Source organism: Homo sapiens, chromosome 17 (genome assembly GCF_000001405.40).
Source record: "Homo sapiens chromosome 17, GRCh38.p14 Primary Assembly".
Taxonomy (NCBI): domain Eukaryota; kingdom Metazoa; phylum Chordata; class Mammalia; order Primates; family Hominidae; genus Homo; species Homo sapiens.
Window position 1 is genome coordinate 1,341,459 of NC_000017.11, and position 16,184 is coordinate 1,357,642.

At 44.4% G+C, this 16,184-nt stretch overlaps 1 protein-coding gene across 2 annotated transcripts in view, besides 1 other annotated feature; it reads right to left on the minus strand.

The window, feature by feature from the left end:
- The window catches only part of YWHAE (tyrosine 3-monooxygenase/tryptophan 5-monooxygenase activation protein epsilon), a 55,948-nt gene continuing 42,580 nt past the window's right edge, over positions 2,817-16,184 (minus strand). For both annotated transcript variants that reach the window (NR_024058.2, NM_006761.5), the window contains 2 exons: positions 12,753-12,889; positions 2,817-4,041 (listed from right to left, as the gene is read on the minus strand). Coding sequence is in view for 1 of the 2 variants with exons in the window: in NM_006761.5 (NP_006752.1) it covers positions 3,989-4,041; positions 12,753-12,889 (190 nt within the window). In the remaining variant the exon portion in view is untranslated. The remainder of the gene's footprint in view (positions 4,042-12,752; positions 12,890-16,184) is intronic.
- Positions 6,257-6,551: an enhancer, noted in NCBI's record as "tiled region #14526; HepG2 Activating non-DNase unmatched - State 17:Gen3'". NCBI's record gives its function as "activates a minimal TATA promoter and a strong SV40 promoter by Sharpr-MPRA in HepG2 cells {active_cell/tissue: HepG2}" and the evidence as "EXISTENCE:reporter gene assay evidence [ECO:0000049][PMID:27701403]".

Here is a 16,184-nt window from a genome sequence, read left to right on the forward strand (position 1 = left end):
TTTAAATGATCACTTTAGAATATATTAATAAGGGGGAATATAGTATTTCAAGAAAATAGTTTTAATGAAGAGCAAAAGGTAGTATGGCCTAATGAGACTCTTCAGTGACACAGATGAACTGAATTCTGTATTTGAATTATTAGCCATGCAGCTTTCAGCAAGTTCCTTAACTACTTCCCATTCAGCTTTTCCCATCTGCACAATGCAGGCTCACCTGATTATTATTGAGCGCTTACGTGTGAGATTCCAGACATTGCTTAGTAACGAGCACAGTGCCTGGTGCAAAGCTGGTACGCAATGTTAGCAAAACTATTATTATTTTTTTTTTGAGACAAGAATCTCGCTCTGTCGCTCAGGCTGGAGTGCAGTGCTGCGATCTCGGCTCACTGCAAGCTCCGCCTCCCGGGTTCACGCCATTCTCCGGCCTCAGCCTCCCGAGTAGCTGGGACTACAGGCGCCCGCCACCACACCCGGCTAATTTTTTGTATTTTTTAGTAGAGACGGGATTTCACCGTGTCAGCCAGGATGGTCTCGATCTCCTGACCTCGTGATCCGCCCACGTCGGCCTCCCAAAGTGCTGGGATTACAGGCGTGAGCCACCGCGCCCGGCCAATGTTAGCTAAATATTAACAGTATCTATTACAATCCTACGAACTCAAAGAAACAGGATAAAACAACACAGGGCTTGGTTTTCCTGATCCAGGTTGGATCTGGGAGCATTCCCATTTCCTCTCACAGTGCTCACAAAGGCTTCCTTTAATGACACACTCTAGGATTTCACCAGTTTTCCATGAACTATTACTTGTTACAATTTTCAAAAGAACACAGGGGTCACACCTTTATCCCGCTTTTTCAGCAAGCCTCACTCTCCTCTATTGTCCTAGGATCAGGAAGCAGCTAATTTGGGGTCTCATTTATAAGGCTCAAGGCATTTGTCTGGGACAGAAGCCAATTAATGTCTCCATTTATCCCACCAGTTTCCCCTTTCAGTGATGGAAGTTCATCCCCATCTTCCTATAGGACCGAAATTTAACTTTGCAGACGTGCTGTTCTGAGGACCCACCCGGAACAGAGCATGTACACAAACCCACTTACTGTCGCTTCTAACATTGTAGGAAGCCTTTGGGTTTTCCAAGGCAGCAAAGTACTGAGATTTGTAATTAAAAACACATATTAGCTACATTCAAGTTGTAACTAACTAAAAACTTCTACTTAAGTCGACTGATCCTCAAAGTAAGACTCAAATCAAAACCAGAAAAGTTTGGGGGCAATTCCCTTTCCAGCCCACAAATACAGGAACTGGGAGTGACACCGTCCTCACAGGGCTACGGCACCTTTCTGCAGCTTCCCTGGCTCCCTTTCAATTTTTTTTTTTTTTTTTTTTTTTTGAGACGGAGTTCTGCTCTTATTGCCCAGATTAGAGTGCAGTGGCGCGATCTTGGCTCACTGCAAGCTCCGCCTTCCAGTTTCCAGCGATTGTCCTGCCTCAGGCCTCCCAAGTCACTGGATGTTAATTACACCCAGCAAGGTCGCCCGCCACCACGCCTGGCTAATTTTTTTGTATTTTTAGTAGAGACAGGGTTTCCCCATGTTGTCCAGGCTGGTCTCTTAACTGCTGACCTCGTGATCCACCCACCACGGCCTCCGAAAGTGCTGGGATTACAGGCGTGAGCCACCGCACCCGGCCTTTCAATTTTTGATAAGGATCTTTCCTTTTTTTTTTTTTTGAGACAGTCTCACTCTGTCGCCCAGGCTGGAGTGCAGTAGCGTGATCTCGGCTCACTGCAACCTCTGCCTCCCGGGTTCAAGCGATTCTCCTGCCTCAGCCTCCCGAGTAGCTGGGAGTACAGGCGTGCGCCACCATGCCTGGCTAATTTTTTGTACTTTTAGTAGAGACGGAGTTTCACCGTGTTAGCCAGGATGGTCTCAATCTCCTGACCTCGTGATCCGCCCGCCTCGGCCTCTCAAATTGCAGGGATTACAGGTGTGAGCCACCGCACCCAGCCGAGTGGTTTCTTTAAACTCTGCAACAGACTTGACGAATTCCTTGGATTTTGACCTTTAAGTGTAGCAGGTGTGCTGGAAACAGAGCAAATCAACTTGAAAGCTTCTTGGAGGTTGCTCCAAACAGCAGCATATAATTATATTCAATGGTCTCCCTATCTCTCGGAAAAGCAACTCACAAAAACATGTTTATTCTCATTGCCAGCACTCACTAAACGCTACTAGGATATCGCTGATCTGTTCATTTCCTAAATCTCTGCTACTAACACTTTAAACCGAGAGTAAACTTGCAGTCTCAACATCCAATTTTAGAAGACAAGTGTGACGAGGAAGGATTTATCAACTGAAAAATGTTTACTGACACAGGGAATCTAGAAATGTACCTTCCAGATACATACAAATATTTAAGCAAAAACTGTTCCAAGGGTATTTCCTGCAGCACCTGCCCAAAAGGAGCAAACTGGTCTTAACAAAATCAGGTGTACATCAATGTTACGCAGTCAGAATGAGACACATCTGAATGCCTAACATAAAAAGATCTACAGTAACTAGGTATCTATACACATTGATGTATAAACTGTTTATGGAAAGAAGCTTCTTATACAGTGTTTCTGGAAAGGGAGACTGCTATCCTGCTGTCTATAATGTGTGTATGGATTACTAAGAAAGGATTGAGTAATTCTCCACTACTGCCACTAGCCTCTGGAGGAAGAGGGCACACAGTTTTTACCTCTAAGAATTATTATAAGACATTCAGCCTTATTTGGTTGTATGAAATACTATGCTAGAAAATGATCCATAATTACACCTTGTACTACTCATGTTGTACTTTAATGATTAAAATAAATACCATGTTGCTGCCTGGTCTGGAGGACAAGACACACCATCAACTGACTCAGTGTTCTTCACAACCAGACTACAGGCAATTTTTTTCCAAAACATACATCTTTGGGAAGCAAACAAATTATTTATGGAAGAAAAAAGGAGGAATGTTTCACATTCAGGCAAACATAATACTGTCAGTGTGTTTGGACTAGAGATTTTATTTTAGAAGTATAAAGGATGGAGGCGCGATATTTGGCATTTTTAATTTAGGTTTGTTTTATTTAAGTTTAATGTTAATTCCATGCTGTGTTTCAGTAAGAACAATACAGATTCTGTATCTGTGGCTCCAGTCAGATATCCAGTAGTACAAATTAGCTTCAAGTTACACATACTGAACAAAAGAGGTTGAGCGAGCGAAGGAGGGGAGGAGTGAGGGGAAGGAGGTAGGGGGAGGGGGAAGGAGAAGAAACAAAAGAATTGAACAGGCATGCAGGCTTTTCCATACCACCTTCAACGCTAACCTGCTTCAGTGGGAGAGTAAAGTAGGCAAGAATGAGCAGCCACGGATTGTTGAACTGTTACCAGCACCATGCTTTTCAGCAACATTTCAGCGGAGTTGGAAACATTTTTTACAGCAAAACCATTACAACGAAGTCCCTCCCCAAACCACCTTTAACCATCTCAAGCTAACACCCAATTACTTGCAAACACTGGTATAAAACACAGTTTAAACAATTAGAAAAATGAAAACTGATACCACTTATGCCTCTATAGTGTGATTAACCTCTCTCTTAGATGCTTGCATCACCTATAAGTCTAATGGCTTTCAAATGTAATTTCCATTTGCTAATGGTGATCTTGCCACATCTGGCACGGAGACGACACAGTAATGCTGAAAAAGCCTCTATGTAGTCCTGTTAGTGTCTTAAAGAACCTAAAAGCTGGGACCAGTAAAATCCACAGAAATTCACTCTTGCCTTTAAGAACTTTTGAAAACTGTTTAAAAAAAAAAAAAAAAAACCAACAGGGCAGGAACCTAAATTCTGAGACCAAATGTAAAAGTCAGATTTGGTGGTTCTCAGTGACAATGGGGAGTTTCCAAAGGGTGGGATGGGGAGGAGGGGGTGGTCAGAGATGGTTTCTCTTGTTGGCTTATGTCTCACTGATTTTCGTCTTCCACGTCCTGCAGCGCTTCTTTATTCTGCTCTTCACCTGTTAAAAAAGAAAAAAAGTCAATTATTTCGTATTGACTACATTAGGCTATGGCAGCCACAAACAAAGGTGTCATTCCAAGCATAAAGACTCTTCTACTTGCTACAATTGGTATTAAACGCAGGCAAAGGACTTCTATCATCCTTGACACCTGAGATGCCTAAGCCAAGAAGGGATTATGGTCCTGAAAGTATTTATTGGTCAACAGAATGAAAAAAACTGATGCGCAGTACAACTCAATGTTTTTACGCTAAATAAGCTCTTGACGTAGACAGCCAAGGAAACCATCTTACTAAAATGACATTCAAGCTTTCACATAAATCTTGGGTCAAAATACTCTTTCTCAATAACCTCACCTCTTCAAGAATCAAGAGTATTTTGCAAACTTTTTGCAAAATCTAATTTACCCACAAGCTAATTATCAGAAATGCTTCAAAATAGTTAACTGAGCAATAAACTGTTGCCAAGAAGTTCTATCGTATTTTATTGTGGGGTTCTGCTGTTATAAATATTTCAGCTTTTGTATCTTGGCCAGATACACCAAACTATAATCAGATTTTACTTCAGAGTGAAACACAGCATGCTCAAAGTAAATCAGACCACTGAGGTTATTAAAGAATGGCATTTGGACCACTTCACTCATGCTATTTGTCTTTTGCCTTTAAAGAGGGTGATTACCCTAAGGAGTTTCAACTGCACTATGACATGCAACAGAAAGCCACCTATTGGTTGGAGGGTCATCTACCTATTAGTATGCATTAAACAAGTCAGCCAAAATAAAGAAGCATGCAGGCTTTTCCCTTAAAAATGATGTAACAGGTAAAAGTTACATTCACTTGTACTTTTTTAAAAAAACCACTTACAATTACTACACAGTTAACTAGTTTGAAACAAAATAAATGAAAAATCAACCCAAGAATCATAAATGTTCAAATGACTATCCATTCATAATGCTTGTTAAATTATTTAATTAGGATGGACAAATAACACCAAACTAGCTGCCTACACACATGAAGCATTTACACTGAGTACAGCTTTGAAACAGCCTAAATGATCTCAAAATGACAAATGTCACAGCATCAAGGTTTCAGTAGTTTTCAAATCTCTTCTGCGGCGGAAACGCTTGACATTGCTGTGTGACTTCAAAACCCACTTACAGCCTCAGCAACACAGTGAAGCCCTGTCTCTACAAAAAATGAACATAACGCCGGGCACGGTGGCTCACGCCTGTAATCCCAGCACTTTGGGAAGCAAAGGCGGGCGGATCACGAGGTCAGAAGATCAAGACCATCCTGGCTAACACAGTAAATCCCCATCTCTACTGAAAAAATAATACAAAAAATTAGCCTGGCGTGGTGGCACATGCCTGTAATCCCAGCTACCTGGGAAGCTGAGGCATGAGAATTGCTTGAACCCAGGAGACGGAGGTTGCAGCGAGCCAAGAACATGCCACTACACTCCAGCCTGGGTAACAGAGTGAGACTCCGTCTCAAAAAAAAAAAAAAAAGAATAAATAAAACTAAAAGTAAAAAACTATGTATGCTGGAGCCAGGCATGGTGGCTCACGCCTGTAATACCAGCACTTTGGGAGGCCAAGAGAGGTGGATCATGAGGTCAGGAGATCGAGACCATCCTGGCTAACACAGTGAAACCCTGTCTCTACTAAAAATACAAAAAAAAAAAAAAAAAATTAGCCAGGCATGGTGGCAGGCGCCTGTAGTCCCAGCTACTCGGGAGGCAGGAGAATGGCGTGAACCCAGGAGGCGGAGCTTTCAGTGAGCCAAGATTCTGCCGCTGCACTCCAGCCTGGGCGACAATCGAGACTCCGTCTCAAAAAAAAAAAAAACTACATACGCTGGGCATGGGGCCACATGTCTATAGTCCCAGCTACTTGGGGGGCTGAGGTGGGGGAGTTCTATTTCTGCAGTGAGCTTTGAACGCCACTGCACTCCAGGCGGGGCAACAAGAGCAAAACTCCGTCTCAAAAAAATGTATAAAATTTTAAAACTACTTAAAATACATGAAGATCTTTAATTCATAAGACAGAAAAAAAATATGCAAAGGCAAAAAAAAATTGCTTAGGGATGAAAGAACTGATGGGCACCCAACTGTTCTCCAAAGGACAATAACGTATTCAAACGTAGGAAACATGATAGGAACATTCACTCTAACAGCAAATCACTGCCAAAGTATCATTAACACAAACACTAGAACACAACTCGCTTGTAAGCAACCATGAGATGTGCCAGAAGTTCCAAGTAACTTTGGCATAAAAATGTCACTGTCATATACATCACATCCAACCACAGTAGGCAGGAGGAGCAGGCCGGAAAAGGCTTAGGTCAGCGCCCTGGAAGGTGGAACAGGCAGAGTCTGTAAGCAACAGGACGATCATACGCAGGCATGATTAGTGAAGAACCAAAACTGAAAGCGGAATTCACTGTGCCATGAACGTGACTTACAAAGTAGAGTTTTTAGGAAAGGAAGAGTTGGGTTTTCCTTTAGGAATCTATATTGCAAGGAAAAAGGGAGGGAGAACAATCATATGAAAGCAACATTACAAGAAAAATAAACCAACAGAGCAGGACAAAGGAAAACAATGATACAGGAGCCGGACTTTGGTCTTACTTCGTGTAAACTTCACTCTAAGCAACAATCTGTCTACTCCTCCTCCCTTCTACTCTGAGAAGGAAGTAATATCCTCTTGAAAGACATACAGATATTAGGGGAAAAAGGATTCCTTGGCTATGTTTCTTTGCCCAGTGTATCTACATTTTGGAGAGAGGGGAACAGGCAGGGAGAACATGTATTTCCTACCTATGGATTCGTATATGAAACAATCCTCTTACCACAGGGTGAAGAGACTAAAATCACTTGAGAAAAAGCAATGATCCCTCCCTTTAAAGAAATTATGTTCCAACATGCTGGGACAGACATTAACATATTCTAAAATTAAAAGACATAAATACCGTCTCTTTAAAAAACAAAAAAATCTAAATAATCCTTAAACTAAATGCAAAGTCACATCCTAGTAAACTGCCACTTTCATGACGATTCTCCTATATTCACCACGGAACCCAAGTCACAAAAGTAGTATTTTATTTTGTGAGATGAAGTTTTATCTTGCCCAAGCTGGTGTCAAACTCCTGGGCTCAAGTGATCCTTCTGCCTCACCTTGCTGAACAGCCGAGATTACAGGCAGGCACCATTGCAGTTTCAAAACCAATTTATTAAAAAATGTAGGCCGGGAACAGTGGCTCACGCCTGTAATCCCAGCATTTTGGGAGGCCGAGGCAGGCGGATCACGAGGTTAGGAGATTGAGACCATCCGGGTTAACACGGGGAAACCCCGCCTCTACTAAAAATACAAAAAAAAATTAGCCGGGCATGGTGGCGGGCACCTGTAGTCCCAGCTACCAGGAAGGCTGAGACAGGAGAATGGCGTGAACCCGGGAGGCGGAGTTTGCAGTGAGCCAAGATAGCACCACTGCACTCCAGCCTGGGTGACAAAGCAAGACTCTGTCTCACGAAAAAAGGAAAAAAAAAAAAGATGTAATACTAGGCCAGGTGCGGTGACTCGGGCCTGTAATCCCAGCACTTTGGGAGGCTGAGGCAGGTGGATCACGAGGTTAGGAGATTGAGACCATCCGGGCTAACACGGGGAAACCCTGTCTCTACTGAAAATACGAATTATTGCCAGGCGTGGTGGTGGGCACCTGTAGTCCCAGCAACTCAGAGAGGACGAGGCAGAAGAATCGCTTGAACCCGGGAGGTGGAAGCTGCAGTGAGCAGAGATTGCGCCACTATACTCCACCCTGGGCAACAGAGTGATACTCCATCTCAAAAACTCTAATTTTTGACAAATTCAACTTCTCAAACTGATGAACAATTTCTTTGTACCCACAATTATTTGTGTATTCAGAGTTTGTTAGTTGTACCGGAATGTCAACAGACCACCTGAATTTTTCACTGTTGAACTATTTCATGACTGGAAGCATTATATAAATAAAAAGTATTTCACCTAATAAAAATTAAGTGAAAATTACTCTTCTTAACCAAATTTAATCAACTGATTTACAGACTCAATAAGGAATTGAACACAAATGAATTTCACTAGATTTTTTTTTTTTTTGAGACGGAGTCTTGCTCTGTCGCCCAGGCTGGAGTGCAGTGGTGCTATCTCGGCTCACTGCAAGCTCCGCCTCTGGGTTCACCCCATTCTCCTGCCTCAGCCTCCCAAGTAAATGGGACTACAGGCGCCCACCACCACGCCCGGGTAATTTTTTTTGTATTTTTAGTAGAGACGGGGTTTCACTGTGTTAGCCAGGATGGTCTCAATCTTCTGACCTCGTGATCCGCCCGCCTCAGCCTCCCAAAGTGCTGGGATTAACCGGCGTGAGCCACTGCGCCCAGCCGAATTTCACTAGATTTTTAAAAACTGCGAAAGTATTACCCTGTATTTTTTTTTTTTGGACGAAGTTTCTCTCTTGTTGCCCAGGCTGGAGTGCAACGGCGCGATCTCAGTTGATCACAACCTCCAACTCCCAGGTTCAAGCGATTCTCCTGCCTCAGCCTCCCCAGTAGCTAGGATTACAGACATGTGACACGACGCCTGGCTAATTTTGTATTTTTAGTAGAGATGGGGTTTCTCCATGTTGGTCAGGCTGGTCTCGAACTCCTGACCTCAGGTGATCCACCCGCTTCGGCCTCCCAAAGTGCTGGGATTATAGGCGTGAGCCACTGCACCAGGCCGTATTACCCTATTTTAAGATGATCCATTTCCTAAAACTGTACTCGACAACCAAGAATAAGGATTATCTTTAGTTCTGTACATAGACTGACAGGTAGTCTACTTTGATTAATCAACTCTTGGTTATCAGTGATAATGAGCTACAGAAGTAATCCAGACTTGGTTATGAGTTGGTATCAAATGTGTTTTCTTGTTTTGTTTCGTTTCTTTGAGACAGAGTTTTGCTCTTGTTGCCCAGGCTGGAGTGCAATGGAGTGATCTTGGCTCACTGCACCTCTGCCTCCCGGGTTCAAGTGATTCTCCTGTCTCAGCCTCCTGAGTAGCAGGGATTACAGGTGCCCGCCACCACACCTGGCTAATTTTTGTATTTGTAGTAGAGACGGGGTTTCTCCATGTTGGTCAGGCTGGTCTCAAACTCCTGACCTCAGGTGATCCGTCCACTTCGGCCTCCCAAACTGCTGGGATTACAGGCATGAGCCACTGTGCCCAGCATATGTTTTTATTAAAATAATAATAATAAAAAAAAATGGCCAGGCGCAGTGGCTCACGCCTGTAATCCAAGCATTTTGGGAGGCCGAGGCAGGTGGACCACGAGGTCAGGAGTTAGAGACCAGCCTGGCCAACATGGTGAAACCCTGCCTCTACTAAACAAACAAAAAACTAGCTGGGTATGGTGGCGCACGCCTGTAATCCCAGCTACTCAGGAGGCTGAGGCAGGAGAATCCTTTGAACCCAGGAGGCAGAGGTTGCAGTGAGCCGAGATCGCACCATTGCATTCCAATCTGGGCAACAGGGAGAGACTCCGTCTCACAAAACAAAACAAAAAATCAGCCAGGCGCGGTGGCTCACACCTGTAATCCCAGCGCTTTGGGAGGCCGAGATGGGCAGATCACAAGGTCAGGAGTTGGAGACCAGCCTGGCCAACATAGTGGAACCCCGTCTCTATTAAAAATACAAAAAATTAGCTAGGAGTGGTGGTGGCAGACACCTGTAGTCCCAGCTACTAGGGAGGATAAGGCAGGAGAATCAGAGGCAGGAGAATCACTTGAACCCAGGAGATGTAGGTTGCAGTCAGCTGAGAGAGCACCACTGCACTCCAGCCTGGGTAACAAGAGCAAAACTCCATCTCAAAAAAAAAAAATAAAACACACACACAGAAAAAACTTTCAAGTCAGGTCACTTTCATTACTTATTACTTTTACTCTCAAAAACATGTCCCCAGAGGTGAGAGGTGTATCATTTCCTGAAGTCAATCCCGCGCCCCAAACTCTCCGCATGCTTTCCCTCCATCAACAGGCAGAGAGATACTAGCATCTGAGCTGGGGATGACCATTACGAGTCCACAGCTGTTTGACCATTCTTCTTCATAATTGTTGTTACAACTTTTTTTCTTCCCTGAAGAGATGGCATCTCGTTCAGTCATCCAGGTTAGAATACAGTGGCGCAATCGAAGCTCACTGCAGCCTCAAGATCCCCCAACCTCAGCCGTCTGAGAAGCATGCGTTGTCACACCTGGCTGTTGTTTTTGTTTTTTGTTTTGAGACAAAGTCCTGCTCTATGAAGCCTCGCTCTGCCACCCAGGCTAGAGTGCAGTGGGGCGTGATCTCAGCTCACTGCAACCTCCACCTCCTGGGTTCAAGCAATTCTCCTGCCTCAGCCTTGCAAGTAGCTGAGATTACAGGCACATACCACTGCACCCGGCATTTTTTTTTTTTTTAAAGACAGGGTCTTACTATGTTGCCCAGGCTGGTCTTGAACTCCTAGGCTCAAGCATCTTCCCACCTTGGCCTCCCAAAGTGCTGGGATTACAGGCACAAGCCACTGCAACCGGCATAGGACAGATTTTCCAGCTGGAAGCCACTTGTTCACAGTTGGTAAATTATTTCTGAGTCCCAAGGGCTGGGAGTAGCTGCCTGAAATGCTGCGCTGGGAAGTGTTCTGTGGCTCCATCTGGCACTGTTGCAAGTGTGTAAGTAAGTCCTACGTATGTGAATATCTCATGCCAATCCTGATCTAGTCAAATCCTAAACATATCATAAAGCTAGTAAATGTTAAAAGCTGAGTCACCTAATTCTCACTTTAGTACCATAACCCAAAAGTCACAAATCTGATTTGATCCTTCCAGAGAAAAGACACATACGTGCCCACTTTCAGAAGCATTTTCAAAAAGTATAACACTTCCAAAGACAATACAGCAGGTCCGTTTCCCCAAAAGAAACTACAGATAGCCTCAAGCAACGCGACATATGTTTTATGTTTCAGCCTAAGAAACGTTATCTCTTTTTTTTTTTTTTAGATGGAGTCTTCCTCTGTAGCCCAGGTTGGAGTGCAATGGCGTATCTCTCAGCTCACTGCAACCTCCGCCTCCTGGGTTTAAGCAATTCTCCGGCCTCAGCCTCCTGAGTAGCTGGGACTACAGGAGCCCGCCACCACGCCCAGCCAATTTTTTGTATACTTAGTAGGGACGGGGTTTCCCCGTGTTAGCCAGGATGGTCTCGATCTCCTGACCGCGTGATCCACCCGCCATGGCGTCCCAAAGTGCTGGGATTATAGGCATGAGCCACCGCGCCCGGCACAGCCTTAGAAACATTCTTAAAGGAACCGCAGCTAAAACTGACATCAGACTTTGTTTACAACCTCCTACCAGCACCACCACCACCAAATGTAAAACTATCCTGTAATACTCCTATCACACTAATTTGTCCTCTTCTCCATCCCTGTTCAACAATCTACCATGGATCAAAATGATTCTCTAGACAGAGAATAAAATTTCCTTTAAAATCAACAAACATAACAAATTTGGGCTCCTGTATTTAAAGTAAACATTAACACACACTCAACATCACAATTAAGTTTACTAAAATACTCTGAAGCGTTTGCAATGAAAACCTCTTAAGAATAAAAACAGGCCGGGCACGGTGGCTTGCGCCTGTAATCCCAGCACTTTGGGAGGCCGAGGCGGGTGGATCACAAGGTTAGGAGATCGAGGCCAACCTGGCTAACACAGTGAAACTCCATCTTTACTAAAAATACAAAAAACTAGCCAGGCGTGGTGGCAGGCACCTGTAGTCCCAGCTACTCGGGAGACTGAGGTGGGAGAATGGTGTAAACCCAGGAGACGGAGCTTGCAGTGAGCCAAGATCGCGCCACTGCACTCCAGCCCGGTCAACAGAGCGAGACTCCATCTCAAAAAAAAAAAAAGAAAAGAAAAGAAAAGAAAAGAATAAAAACAGCAGGGCGCAGTGGCTAACGCCTGTAATCCCTGCACTTTGGGAGGCTGAGGCGGGCAGAACACCTGAGGTCAGGAGTTCAAGACCAGCCTGACCAACATGGAGAAATCCCGTCTCTACTAAAAATACAAAAACTAGGTAGTCGTGATAACGGGTGCCTGCAACCCCAGCTACCCTGGGAAGCTGAGGCAGGAGAATCGCTTGAACCCGGGAGGCAGAGTTTGCAGTAAGCCGAGATTGAGCCACCGCACTCCAGCCTGGGTGTCGCAGCAAGACTCCGTCTCAAAAAAAAAAAAAAGAGACCCAAGGGCCAACATTCAATTTCTCTACAGAATCCCAGAGGGAAATGGGAAACCAGTTCCCTTTTAGATAAAATATTTCAACAAAGAGAAAAACTTCATAAATACCTACTGATACCATCTGGATTTAAATACACTTAACTTCAGCCCCCTAAAATTGAATTGAATGAAGATAAAATAAACTGCTTGCTCTCCACTCCTCCTGTCCTCAACCTTTGAAACAGTGTAAAGGAAGAGCTAAACTAAGTTCCCAAAATGGAACTCCGTACTGTAGCACCATTTCCTATAAAGGCAGCAATTACAATTTCATAGAGGGCAGGCGGTGAATCTAAATTCTAGCTTGATATAACGACAAGCCAAGGAATGTCTAAAGAGAGTACAAACAAATCCTGCAACTGAAAGAGGTGCCTGTTTCACTCCGTGCTTGCTTACCGTCACCCTGCATGTCTGAAGTCCATAGTGTCAGATTATCACGTAACAACTGCATGATAAGTGTAGAGTCCTTATAGCTTTCTTCACTCAGCGTATCCAGTTCTGCAATTGCATCATCAAAAGCTGCTTTTGCCAACCTAAAGGTATTTCAATAGAAGTGTTATAAAAATTAAGTCCAAAATCAGAATTAGAAATGACATGCTAGACAGCAATCTTTTCTTCAGTTATTCCAGTTTGTAATAGTCACAATGATAATGCAAAGAAAAAGCAAATACAATAAAAATTAACTTAAAGGTATGTGGAACACTACTTCTTACTATGCTTTAAGCCTGCTACTGATATGCTATAATATACATATCGACTAATAAAATACATAGAACAACTTCCATCCTAAACCATCACCAAAAAATATACCTCCAAGTTCTAGGCAATAGTTCACTTATTTCAAAAAGTTTTGTTTGTTTGTTTTTAAGACGGAGTCTGGCTCTGTCGCCCAGGCTGGAGTGCAGTGGCGTGATCTCGGCTCACTGCAAGCTTCGCCTCTCAGGTTCATGCCATTCTCCTGCCTCAGCCTCCCGAATGGCTGGGACTACAGGCGCCCGCCACCACACCCGGCTAATTTTTTGTATTTTTAGTAGAGATGGGGTTTCACCGTGTTAGCCAGGATGGTCTCGATCTCCTGACCTCGTGATCCACCAGCCTCAGCATCCCAAAGTGCTGGGATTACAGGCGTGAGCCACCGCGCCCAGCCTAGTTTTTTTTTTTTTTTTTTTTTTTTTTTTTTTTTAAGGGATTCGTTATGTTGCCCAGGCTGGACTTGAACTCCTGCGTTCAAGCAATCTTCCGAACCTTAGCCTCTTGAGTGGCTGGGACAAACGGTACACACTACCACCCCCAAGATTTTTTAAAAAAAAAAAAAAAAAAAAAAAAAAAAAAAATTTTTTTTTTTTTTTTTTTTTTTTGGGGGACGGGGTCTCGCTCTATCACCCAGGCTGGAGTGCAGTGGCGGGATGTAGGCTAAATGCAAGCTCCGCCTCCTGGGTTCACACCATTATCCTGCCTCAGCCTCCCGAGTAGCCGGGACTACAGGCGCCCGCCACCACACCCGGCTGATTTGTTTTTATATTTTTAGCAGAGGCAGGGTTTCACCGTGTTAGCCAGGATGGTCTTGATCTTCTGACCTCGTGATGTGCCCGCCTCAGCCTCCCAAAGTGCTGGATTACAAGGTTGAGATATTTAACAAAGTATTAATGCAAAAAGAAAATCTTGGACAATACCTCAAAGTTTAAAAAAATTTAATTTCACGTTAATGGAGGCAGGGAAGCAAAGAAAATAAAAGGCAACACAGACGCCATGGAAATGTGATTATGTAAGCCATTTACAGTTTTAAAAGAAAATCCACACTTACTGAGTACTGTGTACTATGTCCAACAAACGATACGATATACCAATAGAAAAAAAAGAGACATAATCTAAGTCCACATCAACTTAAAAATTTAGAAATGGAGGGTAGACAAATACATAACTATTTTACAAGGAGGAGGCTGGCTGTGGTGGCTCATGCCTGTAATCAGCACACTTTGGGTGGCTGATGCGTGCGCGCAGATCACTTGAGGCCAGGAGTTCAAGACCAGCCGGGCCACCATGGCAAAACCTATTAAAAACACAAAAAATTAGGCCGGGTGCAGTGGCTCAAGCCTGTAATCCCAGCACTTTGGGAGGCAGAAGCGGGCGGATCACGTGGTTAGGAGATCGAGACCATCCTGGCTAACACAGTGAAACCCCGTCTCTACTAAAAATACAAAAAAATTAGCCGGGAGCAGTGGCAGGTGCCTGTAGTCCCAGCTACTTGGGAGGATGAGGCAGGAGAATGGTGTGAACCCAGGAGGCGGAGCCTGCAGTGAGCCGAGATCACGCCACTGCAGTCCAGCCTGGGCAACAGAGCAAGACTCCGTCTAAAAACACACACACACACACACACACACACACACACACACACACACACAAAATTAGCCGGGCATGGTGGCGTATGCCTGTAATCCCAGCTACTCAGGAGGCTGAGGCAGAAGAATCCCTTGAACCTGGGAGGCGGAGGTTGCAGTGAGGTGAAACTGTGCCAATGCACTCCAGCCTGGGCAAGAGAGCACAAAAACAAAAGAAGAAGAAGAATGAAGTGCTATTCCAAATAAAGTATTTCAGGGACCCAGAAGGAGGAGCAATTAAAGGGAAAGTCAAATTTGAACTAATCTCAATGGATAAGGAGAAAACAAAACACACTTCAGGTTTAAGCAGAAGCATGAGCAAAGGCATGCGAGTGACTTTAAACTGGAGCTACACGTGGGACAGCTAGACTGGAGTCTGACAAGGAAAGGTGCAACCACCAGTATTAGCTAAATAGCCACAGCTTCTTCAGTTACGATCCCTATCTGGACAAACTCAACTAGCCATTTAGAATGTTTTTACATTGGCTGGGCGCAGTGGCTCACGCCTGTAATCCCAGCACTCTGGGAGGCTGAGGCAGGTGGATCACCTGAGGTCAGGAGTTCGAGACCAGCCTGACCAAGATGGTGAAAACCTGTCTCTACTAAAAATGCAAAAAAAAAAAAAAATTCAGTCAAGCGCAGTGAAGCATGCCTATAATAGTCAACATTAAAGTTCCAATGTATCAGTTAATCCCCTTTCCTCAAACTTTGAAAGGCTTTCACTTAAAAACCCTACTTTGCTTAAGCAGTTGTCCTCAAACAAACCAAAAAAAAACACATACAAAAACCAAAAGGGGCCGGGCGCGGTGGCTCACGCCTGTAATCCCAGCACTTTGGGAGGCCGAGGAGGGCAGATCACGAGGTCAGGAGATCGAGACCATCCTGGCTAACACAGGGAAACCCCATCTCTATTAAAAATACAAAAAATAGGCCGGGCGCGGTGGCTCACACCTGTAATCCCAGCACTTTGGGAGGCCGAGGCGGGTGGATCACGAGGTCAGGAGATCGAGACCATCCTGGCTAACACGGTGAAACCCCATCTCTACTAAAAATACCAAAAATTAGCCGGGCGTGGTGGCGGGCGCCTGTAGTCCCAGCTACTCGGGAGGCTGAGGCAGGAGAATGGCGTGAACCCGGGAGGCAGAGCTTGCAGTGAGCCGAGATCGCGCTACTGCACTCCAGCCTGGGGGACATAGCGAGACTCCGTCTCAAAAAAAAAAAAAAAAAAATACAAAAAATTAACCGGGCGTGGTGGCGGGTGCCTGTAGTACCAGCTACTTGGGAGGCTGAGGCGAGAGAATCGCCTGAACCCAGGAGGCTGAGCTTTCAGTGAGCTGAGATCACGCCACTGTACTCCAGCCACAGCAGCAGAGTGAGACTCCGTCAAAATAAAAAAAAAAAGCAAAAAAACCATTTTGCTACTGCAATATTTACTGTAAAAATTTAAAAT